The 17410-nt window shown below is 53.9% G+C and overlaps 1 pseudogene across 1 annotated transcript, besides 2 other annotated features; it reads left to right on the top strand.

Annotated features, from left to right (window-relative positions):
- The first annotated feature begins 272 nt into the window (after positions 1 to 272).
- On the top strand, positions 273 to 15693 carry NCF1C (neutrophil cytosolic factor 1C (pseudogene); annotated as a pseudogene). The gene is made up of 11 exons (NR_003187.3): positions 273 to 399; positions 3561 to 3639; positions 5394 to 5469; positions 5569 to 5734; positions 7092 to 7147; positions 9252 to 9374; positions 9838 to 9945; positions 11495 to 11612; positions 14301 to 14405; positions 14876 to 15021; positions 15356 to 15693. The product of NR_003187.3 is annotated as a neutrophil cytosolic factor 1C (pseudogene) (transcript).
- Positions 8969 to 9469: an enhancer, noted in NCBI's record as "H3K4me1 hESC enhancer chr7:74578607-74579107 (GRCh37/hg19 assembly coordinates)". NCBI's record gives its function as "activates a minimal SCP1, AML or CMV promoter by ChIP-STARR-seq in primed H9 embryonic stem cells {active_cell/tissue: H9 hESC(primed)}" and the evidence as "EXISTENCE:reporter gene assay evidence [ECO:0000049][PMID:30033119]".
- Positions 15205 to 15314: an enhancer, noted in NCBI's record as "active region_26176". NCBI's record gives its function as "activates an Ori minimal core promoter by ATAC-STARR-seq in GM12878 lymphoblastoid cells {active_cell/tissue: GM12878}" and the evidence as "EXISTENCE:reporter gene assay evidence [ECO:0000049][PMID:35858748]".
- Positions 15694 to 17410: the final 1717 nt, after the last annotated feature.

The raw sequence follows: 17410 nt of genomic DNA, 5'->3' as shown, positions 1-17410 counted from the left end.
GGAAAGATGGTCAAGGGGACGCAGCAAATGCAAAGGCCCTGAGGCAGGAGCAGCTTGATTCACCCCCAAAACCCGTGGGGCCCGTGCAGGCGACGGGAAGGACAAGTGTAAACCCTTTTCCTTGTCCCTGCAGGTGTGTGTGAACATGAGTCTGCCCATGTTTACACCCTGCAAGCCTGAAGAGTCCCCAGAAACTGAAAGAAGAAGCAAAGCCCTTTCTGTACCCTCCCTGCCCCCTGTCCCGACCGCGACAAAAGCGACTTCCTCTTTCCAGTGCATTTAAGGCGCAGCCTGGAAGTGCCAGGGAGCACTGGAGGCCACCCAGTCATGGGGGACACCTTCATCCGTCACATCGCCCTGCTGGGCTTTGAGAAGCGCTTCGTACCCAGCCAGCACTATGTGAGTAGCTGGTGGAGGGCATCCCGTGGGGGGAATACGGGAGGGACAGCACGGCCACCCTTGCAGTCCCAGGGCCAACCAGCTCCAGTGAGGACTAACGGGGCAGGGTCTTGGGCACCTGGTCCCTGGTCTTTGAGCCTGGATCTACCCCTCTGATCCCTGGGAAGACAGTTCCCTTGGACCCGCCCTGGGCCCCAGCCCTTTACTGTCCCCGCCTGTGTCCCCAGCCAGGCCCTCAGCCTTAGCCAGGAGTCCTCTTTCTGCTCCCCTGCCATGGCCAGGCAGCCCAGCGCTCTCTCAGGTCCGAGGCCCACTCCTCCAGGAAGCCTTCCCTGACTAGCCCAGCTATCAGAGAGTGGCCCTCCCAAGAGGGAGGCCTGGAAACTAAAGCTCTCTCTCTCCCCAGCTGCCTGTAGTGTCAGTTAGAGTCTTATCCTCTCCAGTAGGGTGACACCATGACAGGGGCCAATAGAGTCCTCCCATCTGTCCCCAAGGAGGCTGGACAAATGCCTGCTCAGACACACAAGTCCACTGGGTCCCCTAATCCCATAGGAAGGCCAGGGAGGAACTACATTTAGGAAATTGAAGCTTGTATGGAACATTTAGTCCTATGTGCCAAGACCTTTCTCTTTTTTGTTATTTTTTTGTTTTTTGAGACAGAGTCTTGATCTGTTGCCCAGGCCAGAGTGCAGTGGCACGATCTCAGCTCACTGCAACCTCCGCCTTCCAGGTTCAACTGGTTCTCCTGCCTCAGCCTCCAGAGTAGTTGGGATTACAGGTGCCCACCACCACGCCTGGCTAATTTTTGTATTTTTAGTAGAGACAGGGTTTCACCATGTTGGCCAGACTGGTCTCAAACTCCTGACCTCAAGTGATCCACCCACCTGGGCCTCCCAAAGTGCTGGGATTACAGGCATGAGCCACCGTGCCTGGCCTGTTTTTTTGAAATGAGGTCTGGAGTGCAGTGGTGCGATCATAGTTCACTGCAGCCTCAACCTCCCAGGCCCAAGTGATCCTCCTGCCTCAGCCCCTTGAGTAGCTGGGGCTACAGGCGCACACCACCATGCCTGGCTAGTTTTTAAAATTTTTGTGGAGATGAGGTTTCACTATGTTGTCCAGGCTAATCTTGAACTCCTCGGCTTAAGCAACCCTCTGGTCTCAGCCTCCCACAGTGCTAGGATTACAAGCGTGAGCTACCGTGCCTAGTCACTTTTCTCCTTTTCTTTGTAACTTTCAGTTTTGAAATTTCAAATTTACAGAAAGGCTACTGGGTGTCAAAACGGTACCAGTCACTCCAATAGTCTTTCACTCACCTTCATCCACACCTCTCTTTCTGGGGATATTTTCTGAATTATTTGAGAGTGAGTTGAAGACGTGTTTCTTTACCTCTAAATACTAGTTGTTGGGCATTTCTTAAAATCAAGGCATTCTCTTACATAATCACAACACACGTGTCAAAATCAGGAAATTAACATGGACAAAACACCATTATCCACCCACAGACTTTACTGAGGTTTCCCCGATTATCCTGCTTGTCCTCTGCAGTGAAAACTTTTTTCAGGTCTAGGATCCAGTCAAGGATCAATGTCATAGCCTTTAACCTTCTTTAATCTGGATCAGTCTTTTTTCTTTTTCTTTTTCTTTTTTTGGACACGGAATCTCACTCTGTCGCCAGACTGGAGTGCAGTGGTGCAATCTCGGCTCATTGCAACCTCTGCCTCCTGGGTTCAAGAGATTCTCCTGCCTCAGCCTCCTGAGTAGCTGGGAATACAGGTGCGCGCCACCACGCCCAGCTCGTTTTTGGTAGAGACAGGGTTTTGCCATATTGATTCTGGATCAGTCTTTTTTTTTTTTTTTATGAGATGGAGTCTTACTCTGTCACCCAGGCTGGAGTGCAATGGCACAATCTCCACTCACTGCATCCTCCGCCTCCCAGGTTCAAGCAATTCTCGTGCCTCAGCCTCCCGAGTAGCTGGGATTACAGGCATGCGCCACCATGCCCGGCTACTTTTTGTATTTTTAGTAGAGACAGGGTTTCACCATGTTAGCCAGGCTGATCTCGAACTCCTGACGTCAGGTGATCTGCCCGCCTCGACCTCCCAAAGTGCTGGGATTACAGGCGTGAGCCACCGTGCCAGCGGATTCTGGATCGGTCTTAATCAGTCTTTGTCTTTTGCAACTTTGATGTTTTGCAGAGAGCAGACCAGTTACCTTGTAGAATGTCCCTTAGTTTGGGTTTATCTTCATTAGATTCAGTTTGTGTATCCAGGGCAGTGGATCTTAGATGCAATTCTGTCTTCTTTTTAATTTTTTTGAGAGGGAGTCTCGCTCTGTCACCCAGGCTGGAGTGCAGTGGCACAACCTCAGCTCACTGCAGCCTCCGCCTCCCGGGTTCAAGCAATTCTCCTGTCCCAGCCTCCCAAGTAGCTGGGATCACAGGTGCCCATCACCACTACCGGGTAATTTTTGTGTTTTTAGTAGAGACAGGGTTTCACCATATTGGTCAGGCTGGTCTTGAACGCCTGACCTCAGGTGATCCACCTGCCTTGGCCTCCCAAAGTGCTGGGATTACAGACGGGAGCCAACATGCCCAGCCTTCCTGCCCCTCCCGTCCCCTCCCCTCTCCTCCTGTCCCCTCCCTTCCCCTCCCCTCCCCACCCAAGCTGGAGTGCAGTGGTGCAATCATAGCTCACTAAAGCCTTGACCTCCAAGTCTCAAGCAATTCTCCTGCCTCACCTGGGGCCACAGGTGTGCGGCACCACACCCGGACAATTTTTGTGTTTTTAGTAGATATGGGGGTCTCGCTATGTTGCCCAGGCTGGTCTCAAACTCTTGGACTCAAGCGATCTTCCCACCTCGGTACTAAAAAGTGCTGGGATTCCAGGTGTGAGCCACCGTGCCCAGCCTAGGTCCTACTTTTATCTCCAATTTACAGATGAGTCCATTTGAGAGAAGCTGACCCTCTTGCCCTGGGTCTCAAGGCTGGGGCGTGGCAGCACTTGGGTCCACGTTTGTGCCCTTTCTGCAATCCAGGACAACTGCAAAGATGGTCCTCACCCCAATCCTCTGGGCTTCCTCCAGTGGGTAGTGGGATCCTGGGTGCACACAGCAAAGCCTCTTTGGAGGCTGAATGGGGTCCCCCGACTCTGGCTTTCCCCCAGGTACATGTTCCTGGTGAAATGGCAGGACCTGTCGGAGAAGGTGGTCTACCGGCGCTTCACCGAGATCTACGAGTTCCATGTGAGTGTGGGGACGGAGGAGGGACAGGGACCCACCGTTCCAGCTCCACCCTTTGGGAAGGACCTTAGCCCAGGTGATGGGGAAACTGCAGAACCCAGAATCCCCTCCCAGACCACAGTTAAAGGGGATTTATTTATTTATATAAATTTTTGTGACAGGGTCTTGCTCTGTCACCCAGGGTCTTGCTCTGTCACCACTCTGAACACCTCATGTTCTCTGATTACAGGCATGAGCCCCCACGGTCGGCCTTTTAGGTGGTTTTGAGAGGTATTTAGGTTTGCAGTGCAGGGGCGCAATCATAGCTCACTGCAGCCTCAACCTCTGGGGCTCAAGCGATCCTCCTGCCTCAGCCTCCTGAGTAGCTGGGACTATAGGTGCGCATCACCATGTGTGGCTAATTTTTGTATTTTTTATAAAGATGGGGATCTCACTATGTTGCCCAGGCTGGTCTTGAACTCCAGACCTCAAGTGATCCTCCTGCCTTGGCCTCCCAAAGCTAAGGGGGCATTAAAAGAAAAAAACATTTTTCCCCCTGAAACATTTAAGTAGTCTTACTGAAAACAATAAAACACAGAAACACCAGATTCTCATTTTAAAGTAAAACAGACAGGATCTCCCAGAACCTTCCTAGAATGGAACCATTCTTGTCGCTTTTGAAAAACAAAGCCAAGTTCTAGATCCCAAATAAATGCACCTGCTGGTGAACATTCTCCTTGTGGTTCTCGTCCCTATGTTAGTTATTTTCCTAAATTTTACATTTGTACCTTTTTAAGAATGAGTTATCAGTTTTTTTATATTTGCTTTTCTTTTGAGATGGGGTCTTGCTCTGTCACCCAGGCTGGGGTGCAGTGGTGCAATCACGGCTCACTGCAGCCTCAACCTCCAGGGCTGAAGCGATTCTCCCATCTCAGCCTCCCATGTTGAGATCACAGGTGTGCACCACCACACCTGGCTCCTTTTCCTGATTTGTTTTTTGTAGAGATGGGATTTCGCTATGTTGCCCAGGCTGGTCTCTAACTCCTGGACTCAAGTGATCCTCCCGCCTCAGCTTCCCAAATTGCTAGGATTACAGGTTTGAGCCCCTGCACCTGGTCAACCTGAGTTTTAAGAGGATCCCTTTGGCGACTGGATTGAGGACAGACAAGAGTGGACGGGGGACACAAGGAGGCCATTTTCGTTATCCAGGCCTGGTAGTGGCTAGGGCCAGGAGGGTGGGGTTGGTGGGAAGCAGTCAGATCCCAAAGAGATTTGGGGATTGGAAGCAAAAAGATTTGCTGGTGACTTGCACATGGGAGGGAGAGAGGTCAGTGCCTCTGTTAATCAAGGAATCCAGATTGCCACCGAAATTTCTAGGCCCGAGATATTTAGGTAGTGTCTCACTCTGTCACCCAGGATGGAGTGCAGTGGCGCCATCTCGGCTCACTGTAACCTCCGCCTCCCAGGTTTAAACGATTCTCCCACCTCAGCCTCCTGAGTAGCTGGGATTACAGGCATGTGCCACCACTCCCGGCTAATTTTTGTATTTTTAGTAGAGACGGGGTTTCACCACGTTGGCCAGGCTGGTCTTGAACTCCTGACCTCAAGTGATCCACCCACGACAGCCTCCCAAAGTGCTGGGATTACAGGCGTGAGCCACCATGCTCGGCCTTTTAGGTGGTTTTGAGAGGTATTTAGGTCACTTCCAATCTCGTGCTTTTCCAAGTGTTGTAAACTACAAATATTCCTTCACGTCTTCTTGTCTTTTTAATGTTTAGAAAACCTTAAAAGAAATGTTCCCTATTGAGGCAGGGGCGATCAATCCAGAGAACAGGATCATCCCCCACCTCCCAGGTGAGCACGGGGCTGAGCCGCCTGTCAGGGGGTCATTGGTGGGGGCTCACCTGCCCTCCCAGCCCCTCTCGGGCTTGACCTCATGTTCTCTGGTGCCAGCTCCCAAGTGGTTTGACGGGCAGCGGGCCGCCGAGAACCACCAGGGCACACTTACCGAGTACTGCAGCACGCTCATGAGCCTGCCCACCAAGATCTCCCGCTGTCCCCACCTCCTCGACTTCTTCAAGGTGCGCCCTGATGACCTCAAGCTCCCCACGGACAACCAGTGAGTGAACTTTTCACCCTGCCAGGTGGGAGAGGGAAGGAGGGGTGGGACTTTCTGTGTTTTGCAGATGAGGAAACCAAGGCTCAGAGAGGGAAAGCCACCTTCCCAGAGCCACACAGCCAGAAAGAGGAGGCAAATTCCACCTCCGGCCCCTGTGACCCCGCCAAGCCTCCACCTTAATCTTTCACACCTCAGGGCACTGGGGGAAGCACTCGGGGCTGGAGGTTCAAAGTCCTGGGTCCTCATCCTGACATTATGGCCACCTGGCCATGGGACCTGGAGCCAGTCACCACTGCTCTCTGAATGCAGGTTCTCCATTTCTATAATGGGCAGTGAGGATCAGATGAAGCATTGGGTGTCTTGCGGAGCCCCCCAGAAGGATGTGGGGTTGATGCCTCTGCTAAGTGCTGAGCATGTCTGGGGTCTCCTGTACCCAGGACCCTGTGTGGAAGGCACCTGAGAGGCTGAGGGAGCTCCAGGCAGGCTGGGGAAGTCCCCTTCTCCACTCCTCTCTGGTCACTGAAGCTCGAAGTGGGGAGCATGAGGACAGGACGTTACCCCTTGTCAAGGCACCCAGGCTGCCAAGACAGAGACAAGCAGCATTGCTCCGGCCAGCACTTATTGACGCTTGAAGGTGTCCCCTGGCCCAAGGAAGGGCAGTTATCATCAGCCCGGGAGGCGGGGGAAGGATGGACTCTGCAGTGGGGTCCGCTCCTCATTGCCTGCTCTCTCAGGGCTCCAGAAGGAGGAAGAGGCCGGGCACAGTGGCTCACACCTATAATCCCAGCACTTTGGAAGGTCGAGGTGGGCAGATCACCTGAGGTTGGGAGTTTGAGACCAGCCTGGCCAACATGGTGAAACCCCATCTCTACCAAAAATATAAAAATTTAGTCAGGCATGGTGGTGTGCGCTTGTAATCCCAGCTACTTGGGAGGCCGAGGCAGGAGAATCGCTTGAACCCGGGAGGCAGAGGTTGCAGTGAGCTGAGACTGCGCCACTGCACTCCAGCCTGGGTGACAGAGCGAGACTCTGTCTAAGAAAAAAAAAAGAAAAGAAGAAAGAAGATGGCCTGGGAGCCCGCAAGAGCATTTTCCAGGCTTAGGGCATCCTTTGGGTCTGCAGAAGGCTATGCAGTGTCCTCCTCATGTCCCTCCCTTGGGCTGCCCGAGCAGATCCGCCCGCCCCCATCACTTCCTGAAGCCCTTCCTCAGCCAGTCCAGTTGCTGTCTTCTCTCCGCAGTGCCCCTTCCCTTTCCCGGGTCCCTCTTCTCTTGGGAAGTTCTTCTGCAGGTCTACCCAGTGCCTCTTCTTCCTCCATGGGAAGCCAAGGGTCTCACCCAGACTGTTCTCTCCTCAGGACAAAAAAGCCAGAGACATACTTGATGCCCAAAGATGGCAAGAGTACCGCGACAGGTGAGAGGACGGGGGGCAGCCGGCGGGGGGGGACACCCTGAGGAGACCCAGAGTGTTCAGGGAATGGAGCAGGGGCTGGGAGCAGGCTGGGAGGGCTCACAGCTACCCTGCTGAAGAATTGGGTCTTTGGGCCGGGTGCGGTTGCTCATGCCTGTAATCCCAGCAGTTTGGGAGGCCGAGGCAGGTGGATCACTTGAGGTCAGGAGTTTGAGACCAGCCTGGCCAACATGGAGAAACCCTGTCTCTACTAAAAATCCAAATTAGCCAGGCGTGGTGACAGGTGCCTGTAGTCCCAGCCACTTGGGAGGCTGAGGCAGGAGAATTGCTTGAACCCGGAAGACGGAGTTTGCAGTGAGCCGAGATCGTGCCACTGCACTCCAGCCTGGGCAGCAGAGCCAGACTCCATCTCAAAAAAAAAAAAAAAAAGAAGAATTGGGTCTTTGGAAGGTCCCTGGAGACTGAAAGGAGCCCTTTGCAGGTGGCAGTGCAGAGACCAGCGCAGACCCTTGCTACTGGCAGCCGGGGGAGTGTTTGCGGCTGAATGAATGAACAGGTTTTGGAGGGCAGCGTGGCCTTCAGAGGCGATGCAGGGCTGTGGCAGTTTCTAATACTTATTGCACAGTCGCTGCTAATAACAATAATAATAATAATACCTAACATTAATGGAGTGCTTACTCTGTGCCAGCCACTATTTTGTTTTTGTTGTTTTCAGTGACAGGGTCTCGCTCTGTTGCCCAGGCCAGAGTGAAGTGGTGTGATCATAGCTCACTACAGCCTCGACCTCCTGGGCTGAAGCGATCCTCCCACCTCAGCCTTCCAAGTAGCTGGGATTACAGGTGTGTGCCACCATGTCCAGCTAATTTTTAATTTTCTGATAGAGATGGGGTCTCACTACATTGCCCAGGCTGGTCTTAAGCTCTTGGCCTCAAGCAACCCTCCTGCCTCAGCCTCCCAAAGTGCTGAGATTATAGACATGAGCCACTGTGCCCGGCTTTTTCTTCTTCTTATAAGGACACGAGGCCTGTTGGGTTAGGGCCCACTCTACTGACCTCATTTTAACTTAATTACCTCTTGAAACGTACTTAAGAGTACCTTTCTCTTAATATACCCACGCTGTAAGGTACTGGGTGGTTAGGACTTCAACATATGAATTTTGAGAAGGCAGATGTCAGCCAATACCAAACAGCATCAGCACCTCCACGGTTGGATGAAGGGCTGGTCAGAAATGCACACTCAGGTCCCACAGTGGACCTACTGAACAGGATAGGCATTTTAGCAAAATCCCAGGTATTCGGGTGCACCTTAAAGTTAGGAAAAGGTCAGGCACTGTGGCTCATGCCTGTAATCCCAGCACTTTGGGAGGCCGAGGCGGTTGAATCACCTGAGGTCAGGAGTTCGAGACCAGCCTGACCAATATCGTGAAACTCCATCTCTACTAAAAATACAAAAATTAGCCAGGTGTGGTGGCGGGTGCTTGTAGTCCCAGCTACTTGGGAGGCTGAGGCAGGTGAATTACTTGAACCTGGGAGGTGGAGGTTGCAATGAGCCAAGATTGCACCACTGCACTCCAGTGACAGAGCGAGACTCCATCTCAAAAAAAAAAAAAAAAAAAAAAAGTTGGGAAAAGGCCAGGTGCAGTGGCTCCACACCTGTAATCCCAACACTTTAAGAGGCTGAGGTGGGAGAATCCTTTGAGCCCAGGAGTTCGAGACCAGCCTGGGCATTGTCCCAAGACCTTGTCTTTACAAAAAATTAGCCGGGTGTGGTGGCATACGTCTGTGGTCCCAGCTATTCGGGAGGCTGAGGCAGGGAGATTGCTTGAGCCTAGGAGTCTAGGGCTGTAGTGAGCTGTGATCACATCACTGTACTCTAGCCTGGGCAACAGAGCAAGACTCTGTCTCCAAAAAAGAAAATAAAGTTGGGAAAGGCTCACTAACTTCATCAGATGAGAACAAGGACATGTTTGAAGTGTGAGGCCGAAGCCTGGAGAACGCTATGCGCCCAGGAAATGCAGGGCAGCAGAGACTCAAGATGCCAGCGCCTGTTCTGGAGGCCCAGATGGGCCCTGCAATGCCCACTCACCCTGCCCTCCCTCTTGCCCCAGACATCACCGGCCCCATCATCCTGCAGACGTACCGCGCCATTGCCGACTACGAGAAGACCTCGGGCTCCGAGATGGCTCTGTCCACGGGGGACGTGGTGGAGGTCGTGGAGAAGAGCGAGAGCGGTCAGACCTCCCACCTTACGGGGCTCCTTCCCCTGGTGCTCAGGAACCCACAGCCACAAGCCCCCTGCCAAGGCTCAGGCAGCCTGGCCCCTGGGAGGACTCCAGCTCTGTTAGGGGCCCTAAATGTCCTCCCCACACTGTGGGTCGCCTTCTCTCTTAGTGTGCACCCTGTGGTGGCTGTGGGCATCTGTGCATGGCAGGCCGGGGCGGGGCATGTCTGCGTGTTCTGTCTGGATGGGTATGGGACCGTCTGTTCATTATGAAGTGGGCTCAGAGCTGTGATTCTGTGAGCATGTGTGCATGCATGCATGTGACCTCATTGTCCAGTGTGGTGAAGGTGACATTTCCAAATCTGAGCATTGGACATCAGTGTGTCTGTGTCCCTGTGTCCTCACCATCCCTGATGGCTGCAGGGAGCCGCTGGGCCCTGCCCCTCAGTCACATTCCCGCACCTCTGGCACAGGTTGGTGGTTCTGTCAGATGAAAGCAAAGCGAGGCTGGATCCCAGCATCCTTCCTCGAGCCCCTGGACAGTCCTGACGAGACGGAAGACCCTGAGCCCAACTATGCAGGTGCCCCCTGCCCTCCGAGGCTGTAGGGGTGTGGGAGAAAGGGGCAGGCAGGGCTCAGGGATATTGAGTGACTGCTTTGGAGTCTGGGCTGGTTGCTGGCTTGGCAGAAAAGTCAGGGCTAAGATCTCATCGGCTCTGGCTTGGGGGCCCTGGCAGGTTGTGATGCCCTTGGTCTGGACAGGGAACCAGGAGGAGGAGCAGACGACTCGGGAGAGTGGGAGGCCAGTGGTGTCTGTGGATATGTGGCCAGGTTCAGTGGGAAGCTGAAGGATGAGCAGACCTTAGGCTCAGGAAGGAGGGCTGCCTGGAAGTGGGGGCATCATCACTGACCAGAAAGGGAAAACTGGCAGTGCCAGGGCTGGATGGGGCCTGCATTGAGCTTGAAAAAAACTATAATAGAATTGGTTACCATTTTATTTTATTATTTATTTATTTATTTTACTTTTTTGAGATAGAGTCTCACTCCCTTGCTAAGGCTGGAGTGCGGTGGTGCTATCTCAGCTCACTGCAACCTCTGCCTCCCAGGATCAAGTGATTCTCCAGCCTCAGCCTCCCCAGGTAGCTGGGATTACAAGCATGCACCACCATGCCTGGATAATTTTTGTATTTTTAGTTGAGACGGGGTTTCACCAGGTTGGCCAGACTGGTCTCGAACTTCTGACCTCAGGTGATCTGCCTGCCTTGGCCTCCCAAAGTGCTGGAATTACAGATGTGAGCCACTGTCCCTGGCCTGGTTACCCACATTTTAAAATGGAGTGATTTCACCCTTTTATGTGGATTTACAGCTTTTTTTTTTTTTTTTGAGACAAAGTCTGGCTCTGTCACCCAGGCTGGAGTGCAGTAATGCAATCTCAGCTCACTGCAACCTTAGCCTCCTGGGTTCAAGCAATTCTCCTGCCTCAGCCACCTGAGTAGCTGGGATTACAGGCATGCACCACCACGCCAGGCTAATTTTTTGTATTTTTAGTAGAGATGGGGTTTCGCCATGTTGGCCAGGCTGGTCTCGAACTCCTGACCTCAGGTGATCCGCCCGCCTTGGCCTCCCAAAGTGCTAGGATTACAGGTGGGAACCACCTTGCCCAGCCTGTGGCTATCGTTTAAACACTGGGAAGGCCTGCAGCCCCCAGGCCGACAGTTAGCTGCAGCTGAGCAGTTCCCAGTGCCAGGTAGACGGATGCTCCACCCACCTACTCATGGCTGATCTCTTGTCATAGTGAAGTGTCTGGACAGACCTTCATCGTTATGGGATCTCTGGTCCCCAGAGTGGGTGGCAATGAATGGGAGTGGACAAGCTCACCTGGGTGTAGGGGGCAGAGGGCCGAAGTCCAGAGTGTACCCCCAGAGTGGGTGCCAGCAGGAGCTTGCCGAGGGATCTGGGATGGAGCAGGAGGGTGGAGGGAGGAGACCCAGAAGAGGGGGAACTGTGGGCCCTGGGTGGGTCTGGAGTGCCTGGAGGAAGCCCAGGCGCAGAGAGGAGAAGATGGGATGGGTGGCGAGCCCCAGGCTGGGCCGACCTCACACTGTGCTCTGTGCCCCTGCCGTGGACCAGGTGAGCCATACGTCGCCATCAAGGCCTACACTGCTGTGGAGGGGGACGAGGTGTCCCTGCTCGAGGGTGAAGCTGTTGAGGTCATTCACAAGCTCCTGGACGGCTGGTGGGTCATCAGGTAGGAGGGCCCCTCTCCATCCAGAGCACCCATCTGAGTCAGCCCCAGCCAGGACGGGGTGTTTAGGGATCTGGGGTGACTTGTCCCTGGGACTCTGGGTAAGCCACTGCCCCTCTCTGGGCTTAGTTTCCATCTCAGTAGCAGGGAGGGATGAGCCCACCCTTGCCTGTCTTGTGGGGATCCAATGTCCTTGTCCAAGTGGGTGCATTTCTCCTTTGTGATTTAGGGTCTCTTCCCAACCATCTATTATTATTCCTTCTCTGGCAACATGGTGAACTGTTGTATAAATAATTACATTCCTAGCTAGGCGCAATGGCCCAGGCCTGTAATCCCAGCACTTTGGGAGCCCAGGACAGGACGATCACGTGAGGTCAGGAGTTCGAGACCACCCTGGCCAACATGGCAAAACCCTATCTCTACTAAAAACACAAACATGAGCCGGGTGTTGTGGTGGGAGCCTGTAATCCCAGCTACTCGGGAGTCTGAGACAAGAGAATCGCTTCAACCCGGGAGGCGGAGGTTACAGTGAGCCAAGATCGCGCCATTGCACTCCAGCCTGGGCAACGAGAGCGAAACTCCGTCTCAAAAAAAAAAAAAAAAAAAAAAGATTACTTTCTTTTTATCATTCCTTTATCTTTTAAAGCTTTCTTGCAGTCAGGTGCAGTGTCTCATGCCTGTAATCCCAACACTTTGGGAAGCTGAGGTGGGAGGATCACTCAAGGCTACAAGTTCAAGACCAACCTGGGCAATGTAGGGAGACCTCTGTCTCTACAAAAAAAATTTAAAAATAGCTGGATGTGGTAGCACACACCTGTAGCCCCAGCTACTCAGGAGGCTGAGGTGAAAGGATCACTTGACCCCAGGAGTTGGAGGCTGCAGTGAGCTATGACTGCACCACTGCACCCCAGCCTGGGTAATGGAGCAAGACCCTGTCTCAAAAAAAAAAAAAAAAAAAAAAAAGCTTCCATTGCAATTCCCATCTGTTTATCCTCCAAATGAATGCAGAAATACTAATTATCTTTTTTCTGGTTCTGGGGAACACAGAATTCTAGCGGCTTGTGGAGCCATTTCCCTGGAGCCATGGGGCCTCCCAGGTCCTTTCCTGTGTCTTCATTTTTTACGAATTTTTTCATTTTTTGAGACAGGATCTTGCTCTGACTCCCAGGCTGGAGCACAATCATCGCTCACTCAAGCGATCCTCCCACCTCAGGCTCCCACGTAGCTGGGACTACAGGTGAGCACCACCACATCTGGCTAATGTTTTTTAATTTTTTTGTAGGGGTGGGGTCTCACTATGGTGCCAAGACTAGTCTTAAACTCCTGGCCTCAAGAGTTCCTCCTGCCTTGGCCTCCCAAAGCACTGGGATTACAGGAATGAGCCTCCATGCTGGGCCTTTGCTGGCGTCTTCAGAGCCCTAGGTCACAGGGCCAGCCTGGCGCCCTGCCGCAAGCTTATCTTAAAGCTGGGACCACAACATGCATACCTGCAGCCGGGCCCGGGGCCAGAGGGCTTTGAGGCAGCATTTCTCAGCCTTTTAGACACACACTCTGTTAACCCCCATCCTGTGTCTCTGATAATCTTCTTGTGATCCTCCCACCAGCCAAGAATTGGGTTTTATGTGAACCTTGTATTATGCAAAGTTTTCTTTTGTTTTTTTTTTTCACTCCCAAATATAATATTGAGAATAGAAAGAAAGTCTTTTCAACAAATGGTGCTGGAACAGATGGATTTCCATACTGGAAAAAAAAAAAAAGAGCAAAAAACAAACCTAGACCCCTTCCTCACACTGTACACATATGTTTACTTCAGATGGATCACAGGTTTATCCCAGAGTAAAACCTGAAACTAAAAACCATTTGGGGCTGGACAGGGAGCTCACGCCTGTAATCTCAGCACTTTGGGAGGCTGAGGCAGGTGGATCACTTGAGGTCAGGAGTTTGAGACCAGCCATGACCAACATGGTGAAATCCTGTCTCTACTAAAAAAATACAAAATTAACCAAGTGTGGTGGTGCATGCCTGTAATCCCAGCTACTTGGGAAGCTGAGGCAGGAGAATTGCTTGAACTTGGGAAGCAGAGGTTGCAATGAGTCGACATCATGCCATTGCACTCCAGCCTAGGCAACAAGAGCAAAACTCTGTCTTGGGGTTGGGTGGGGGAAAAGCATTTGGAAGAAAGCATAGAATTTGGTGGCTTGGAGGTAGGCAAAGGTTCGTAGGAGACAGAAGGCAGTTAACATAAAAGAAAAATTGGCAAATATAATCTGCCAGTGTCTTCTTTTTTCTTTAATTTTTTCGGGAGGTAGAGATAGGGGTCTTGCTATGTTACCCAGGCTGATCTCCAACTCCTGGCCTCAAGCGATCCTCCCACCTAGATCCCTCAAAGTACTGGGATTACAGGCGTGAGCGACCGTGCCCTGCCCATTCTTGCCAATGTCTTATAGCAAATACCTGTCCCCTGCGGTGACCTGGATCTGCTAACCTCCACCCCTGCCTAGACTGTGGAAGGATTGCTGGAAGGGTCTCAGTTGCACAGACCAGGAAACTGAGGCCCACAGAGGCAGGTGTCCGGTTGTTTGCAACCTCTCAGCCTGTGCTAACCCCAATTGTTCAGAGAGAGCCCTGAAACCCTCTCCTCTGGGCGCCCCCAGGTGACTGCCCCAGCCTCAAGGGCTGCCTCTGTTGCAGGAAAGACGACGTCACAGGCTACTTTCCGTCCATGTACCTGCAAAAGTCGGGGCAAGACGTGTCCCAGGCCCAACGCCAGATCAAGCGGGGGGCGCCGCCCCGCAGGTAAGCGGGGGTCCCCGGGGCTGGGCGGGGTCGAGCGGGGCGCACCACGGGTTCGCTCTGTCTAGGCCATAGCTTGGCAGTGCCGGGGCGGGGGCTCTCAGCCTGGCAGGAGAGGCAGGACCCTTACGGGGGAAAGGGGCTGGACGCGCCTGGCCGCGGTGTGGGGCTGGCACGGGGGCGGAAGGAAAGCGGCGATGCCCGGGGGCTTTGGGGATGGGCAGTCCAGGGGGGCTCCCCGGAGAGGGGGACGACAGACCGAAGGCTGGTGAGGGGCGTGGAAAACCGCCCAGGCTCTGCTGCAGGGCAAGGGTCCTTGTCGTGACGGGGGCAGCCGCCTCTTGTCCCGCCGGGGTCGTGCAGACTACCGGCCCCCTACTGCCCCCCACTTCCTCGGACCAGGGGTGCCCATCTGAGTCCCTGGGGGCAGGGGCGCCCTCGGGCTTTGACGACGCCCCGTCCCGCTGGGCCAGGTCGTCCATCCGCAACGCGCACAGCATCCATCAGCGGTCGCGGAAGCGCCTCAGCCAGGACGCCTATCGCCGCAACAGCGTCCGTTTTCTGCAGCAGCGACGCCGCCAGGCGCGGCCGGGACCGCAGAGCCCCGGGAGCCCGCTCGGTGAGTGCAGCGGGAGAGGGCAGGAAGGGCAAGCCCTAGGGGCGGAGTCAGCGGGAGAGGCGGGGCCAGAGGCAGGGCCAGAGTAGCGGGGCGGGACCAGAGGGCGGAATCAGAGGGAGAGGCGGGGACTGGAGGCGGGGGCAGAGGAGGAGCCAGCGCTAGGGGGCGGAGCGATCCCTAAGAGGCGGAGTCAGAGGGAGAGGCACAAGCGGGAGGCGAGGCCAGAGCGCGGAGCAGGAGTTGGAGAACGCGGCGGGGCGAGGCCAGAGAGCGCTGTGGGCGGGGCCAGTGTGCGGGGCGGGGCGTCTGACTCGGCCCCGCTCTCTGCCCGCAGAGGAGGAGCGGCAGACGCAGCGCTCTAAACCGCAGCCGGCGGTGCCCCCGCGGCCGAGCGCCGACCTCATCCTGAACCGCTGCAGCGAGAGCACCAAGCGGAAGCTGGCGTCTGCCGTCTGAGGCTGGAGCGCAGTCCCCAGCTAGCGTCTCGGCCCTTGCCGCCCCGTGCCTGTACATACGTGTTCTATAGAGCCTGGCGTCTGGACGCCGAGGGCAGCCCCGACCCCTGTCCAGCGCGGCTCCCGCCACCCTCAATAAATGTTGCTTGGAGTGGACCGAGGCTCTGCAGGAATGCAGGGAGGGCCGGGCTCCGCCCCAGGGTTATTTCTAAGTTGAGGACAGGAGGTTGTGAGTTCTGCTGGGGGGAAGTTGCAAGAGCCGAGGTCTGGTTGCATGTTGCCCTGGTCTTGGCCAAGAACAGGTTTGCACAAGGCCAAGTTCAAGAGGAACTTCCGGATTCCTGCTGACCGTTTGGTCAGAAACCACCTGCTTGGACTCTGGCGGAAGAGTGCTGAAGATGGGTGCACACAGTGCAGCAGGGCAGCCCTGTCTCATGACAGGAGACAGGCTGCCGTCCAGGGTGTAGGAGTGACCTCATAGCTGGGATAAAAAATATATTATAACTTAGGTTCGGGCGCGGTGGCTCACGCCTGTAACCCAGCACTTTGGGAGACCGAGGTGGGAGGATCCGTTGAGCTCAGGAGTTCGAGACCAGCCTGGCCAACATGGTGAAACCCCATCTCTACCAAAAATATAAAAATTAGCTGGGCGTGGTGGCATGCATCCATAATCCCAGCTACTGGGGAGGCTGAGGCATGAGAATCGCTTGAACCGGGGAGGCAGATGTTGCAGTGAGCCGAGACGGCGCCACTGGACTCCAGCCTGGACAACATGGTGAAACCCCATCTGTACCAAAAATATAAAAATTAGCTGGGCGTGGTGGCATGCATCCACAATCCCAGCTACTGGGGAGGCTGAGGCATGAGAATCGCTTGAACCGGGGAGGCAGATGTTGCAGTGAGCCGAGACGGCGCCACTGCACTCCAGCCTGGACTACAGAGCGAGACTCTATCTCAAAAAAAAAAAAAAAAAAAAAAAGTAACTTAGGTGCAGGGTGTCCTCTGTTATTCACTGAGACCGTGCCCCGGTTATGAGGTTGTACCAGAAAGCAAGTATTCACTATGCACACTATTCACCGCTCACCCTAGCATTGAAGCCAGCCTGTAGCCTGAAAGCCTTTGCTTTGAGGGCAGGTCTTTCCCCAAAATGCAGACACGAAGGTGCAAAGTGAAGCTGCCAGTCTTGCAAAAGATGTAACTTGTCACGAAGGCCACGAGTGGCAGGGAGAGCTGTCCCACATTTGCGGAAGTGGCTATGTGAGGACGGGGGAGGTGGGTCCCTTAGAGATAAGAGACAATCATAAGGGGAGATATCAGAGAAAATCATAAGGGGAGCAGATGGTTGTCAAGAGAATAGGCTGACCATCGAAGGACTGGCAGAAGCTTTCAGAAAACCACTGGACGGCTGGGCACAGTGGCTTAGGCCTGTAATCCCAGCACTTTGGGAGGCTGACGCGGGTGAATCACTTGAGGTCAGGAGTTCCAGACCAGCCTGGCCAACATGGTGAAACCCCATCTCTACAGAAAATATAAAAATTAGCCAGGCGTGGTGGCACAAGCCTAGAATCCCAGCTACTCGGGAGGCTGAGGCAGGCGAATGGCTTGAACCCAGGAGTCAGAGGCTGCAGTGAGTCGAGATTGTTCCACTGCACTCCAGCCTGGGTGACAGTGCAAGACTCCTTCAAAAAAAAAGAAAAAAGAAAAAAAAAGAAAACCACTGCAGCTCTAAACTAGTTCTGCATTTTTGCCGAACCTGGTTTGCTGGAAAAGCCCAGCACCAAAGGCTATCATACAAAGCTGTGGGAAATTGAATCACCAACCTCACCCCTTCTGCTTGTTCAGTTGCAGTTATAACAACTGTTATTAACAACAAGTTATTAAATACAGTATAAAATACCACGCCTCTAATCCGAGTGCTCTGGGAGGCCAAGGTG

The sequence above is a fragment of the Homo sapiens genome, chromosome 7, assembly GCF_000001405.40.
Source record: "Homo sapiens chromosome 7, GRCh38.p14 Primary Assembly".
Lineage (NCBI taxonomy): Eukaryota > Metazoa > Chordata > Mammalia > Primates > Hominidae > Homo > Homo sapiens.
Note: the sequence above shows the minus strand (reverse complement) of the source record. Positions and strands in the feature narration are given on the sequence as shown.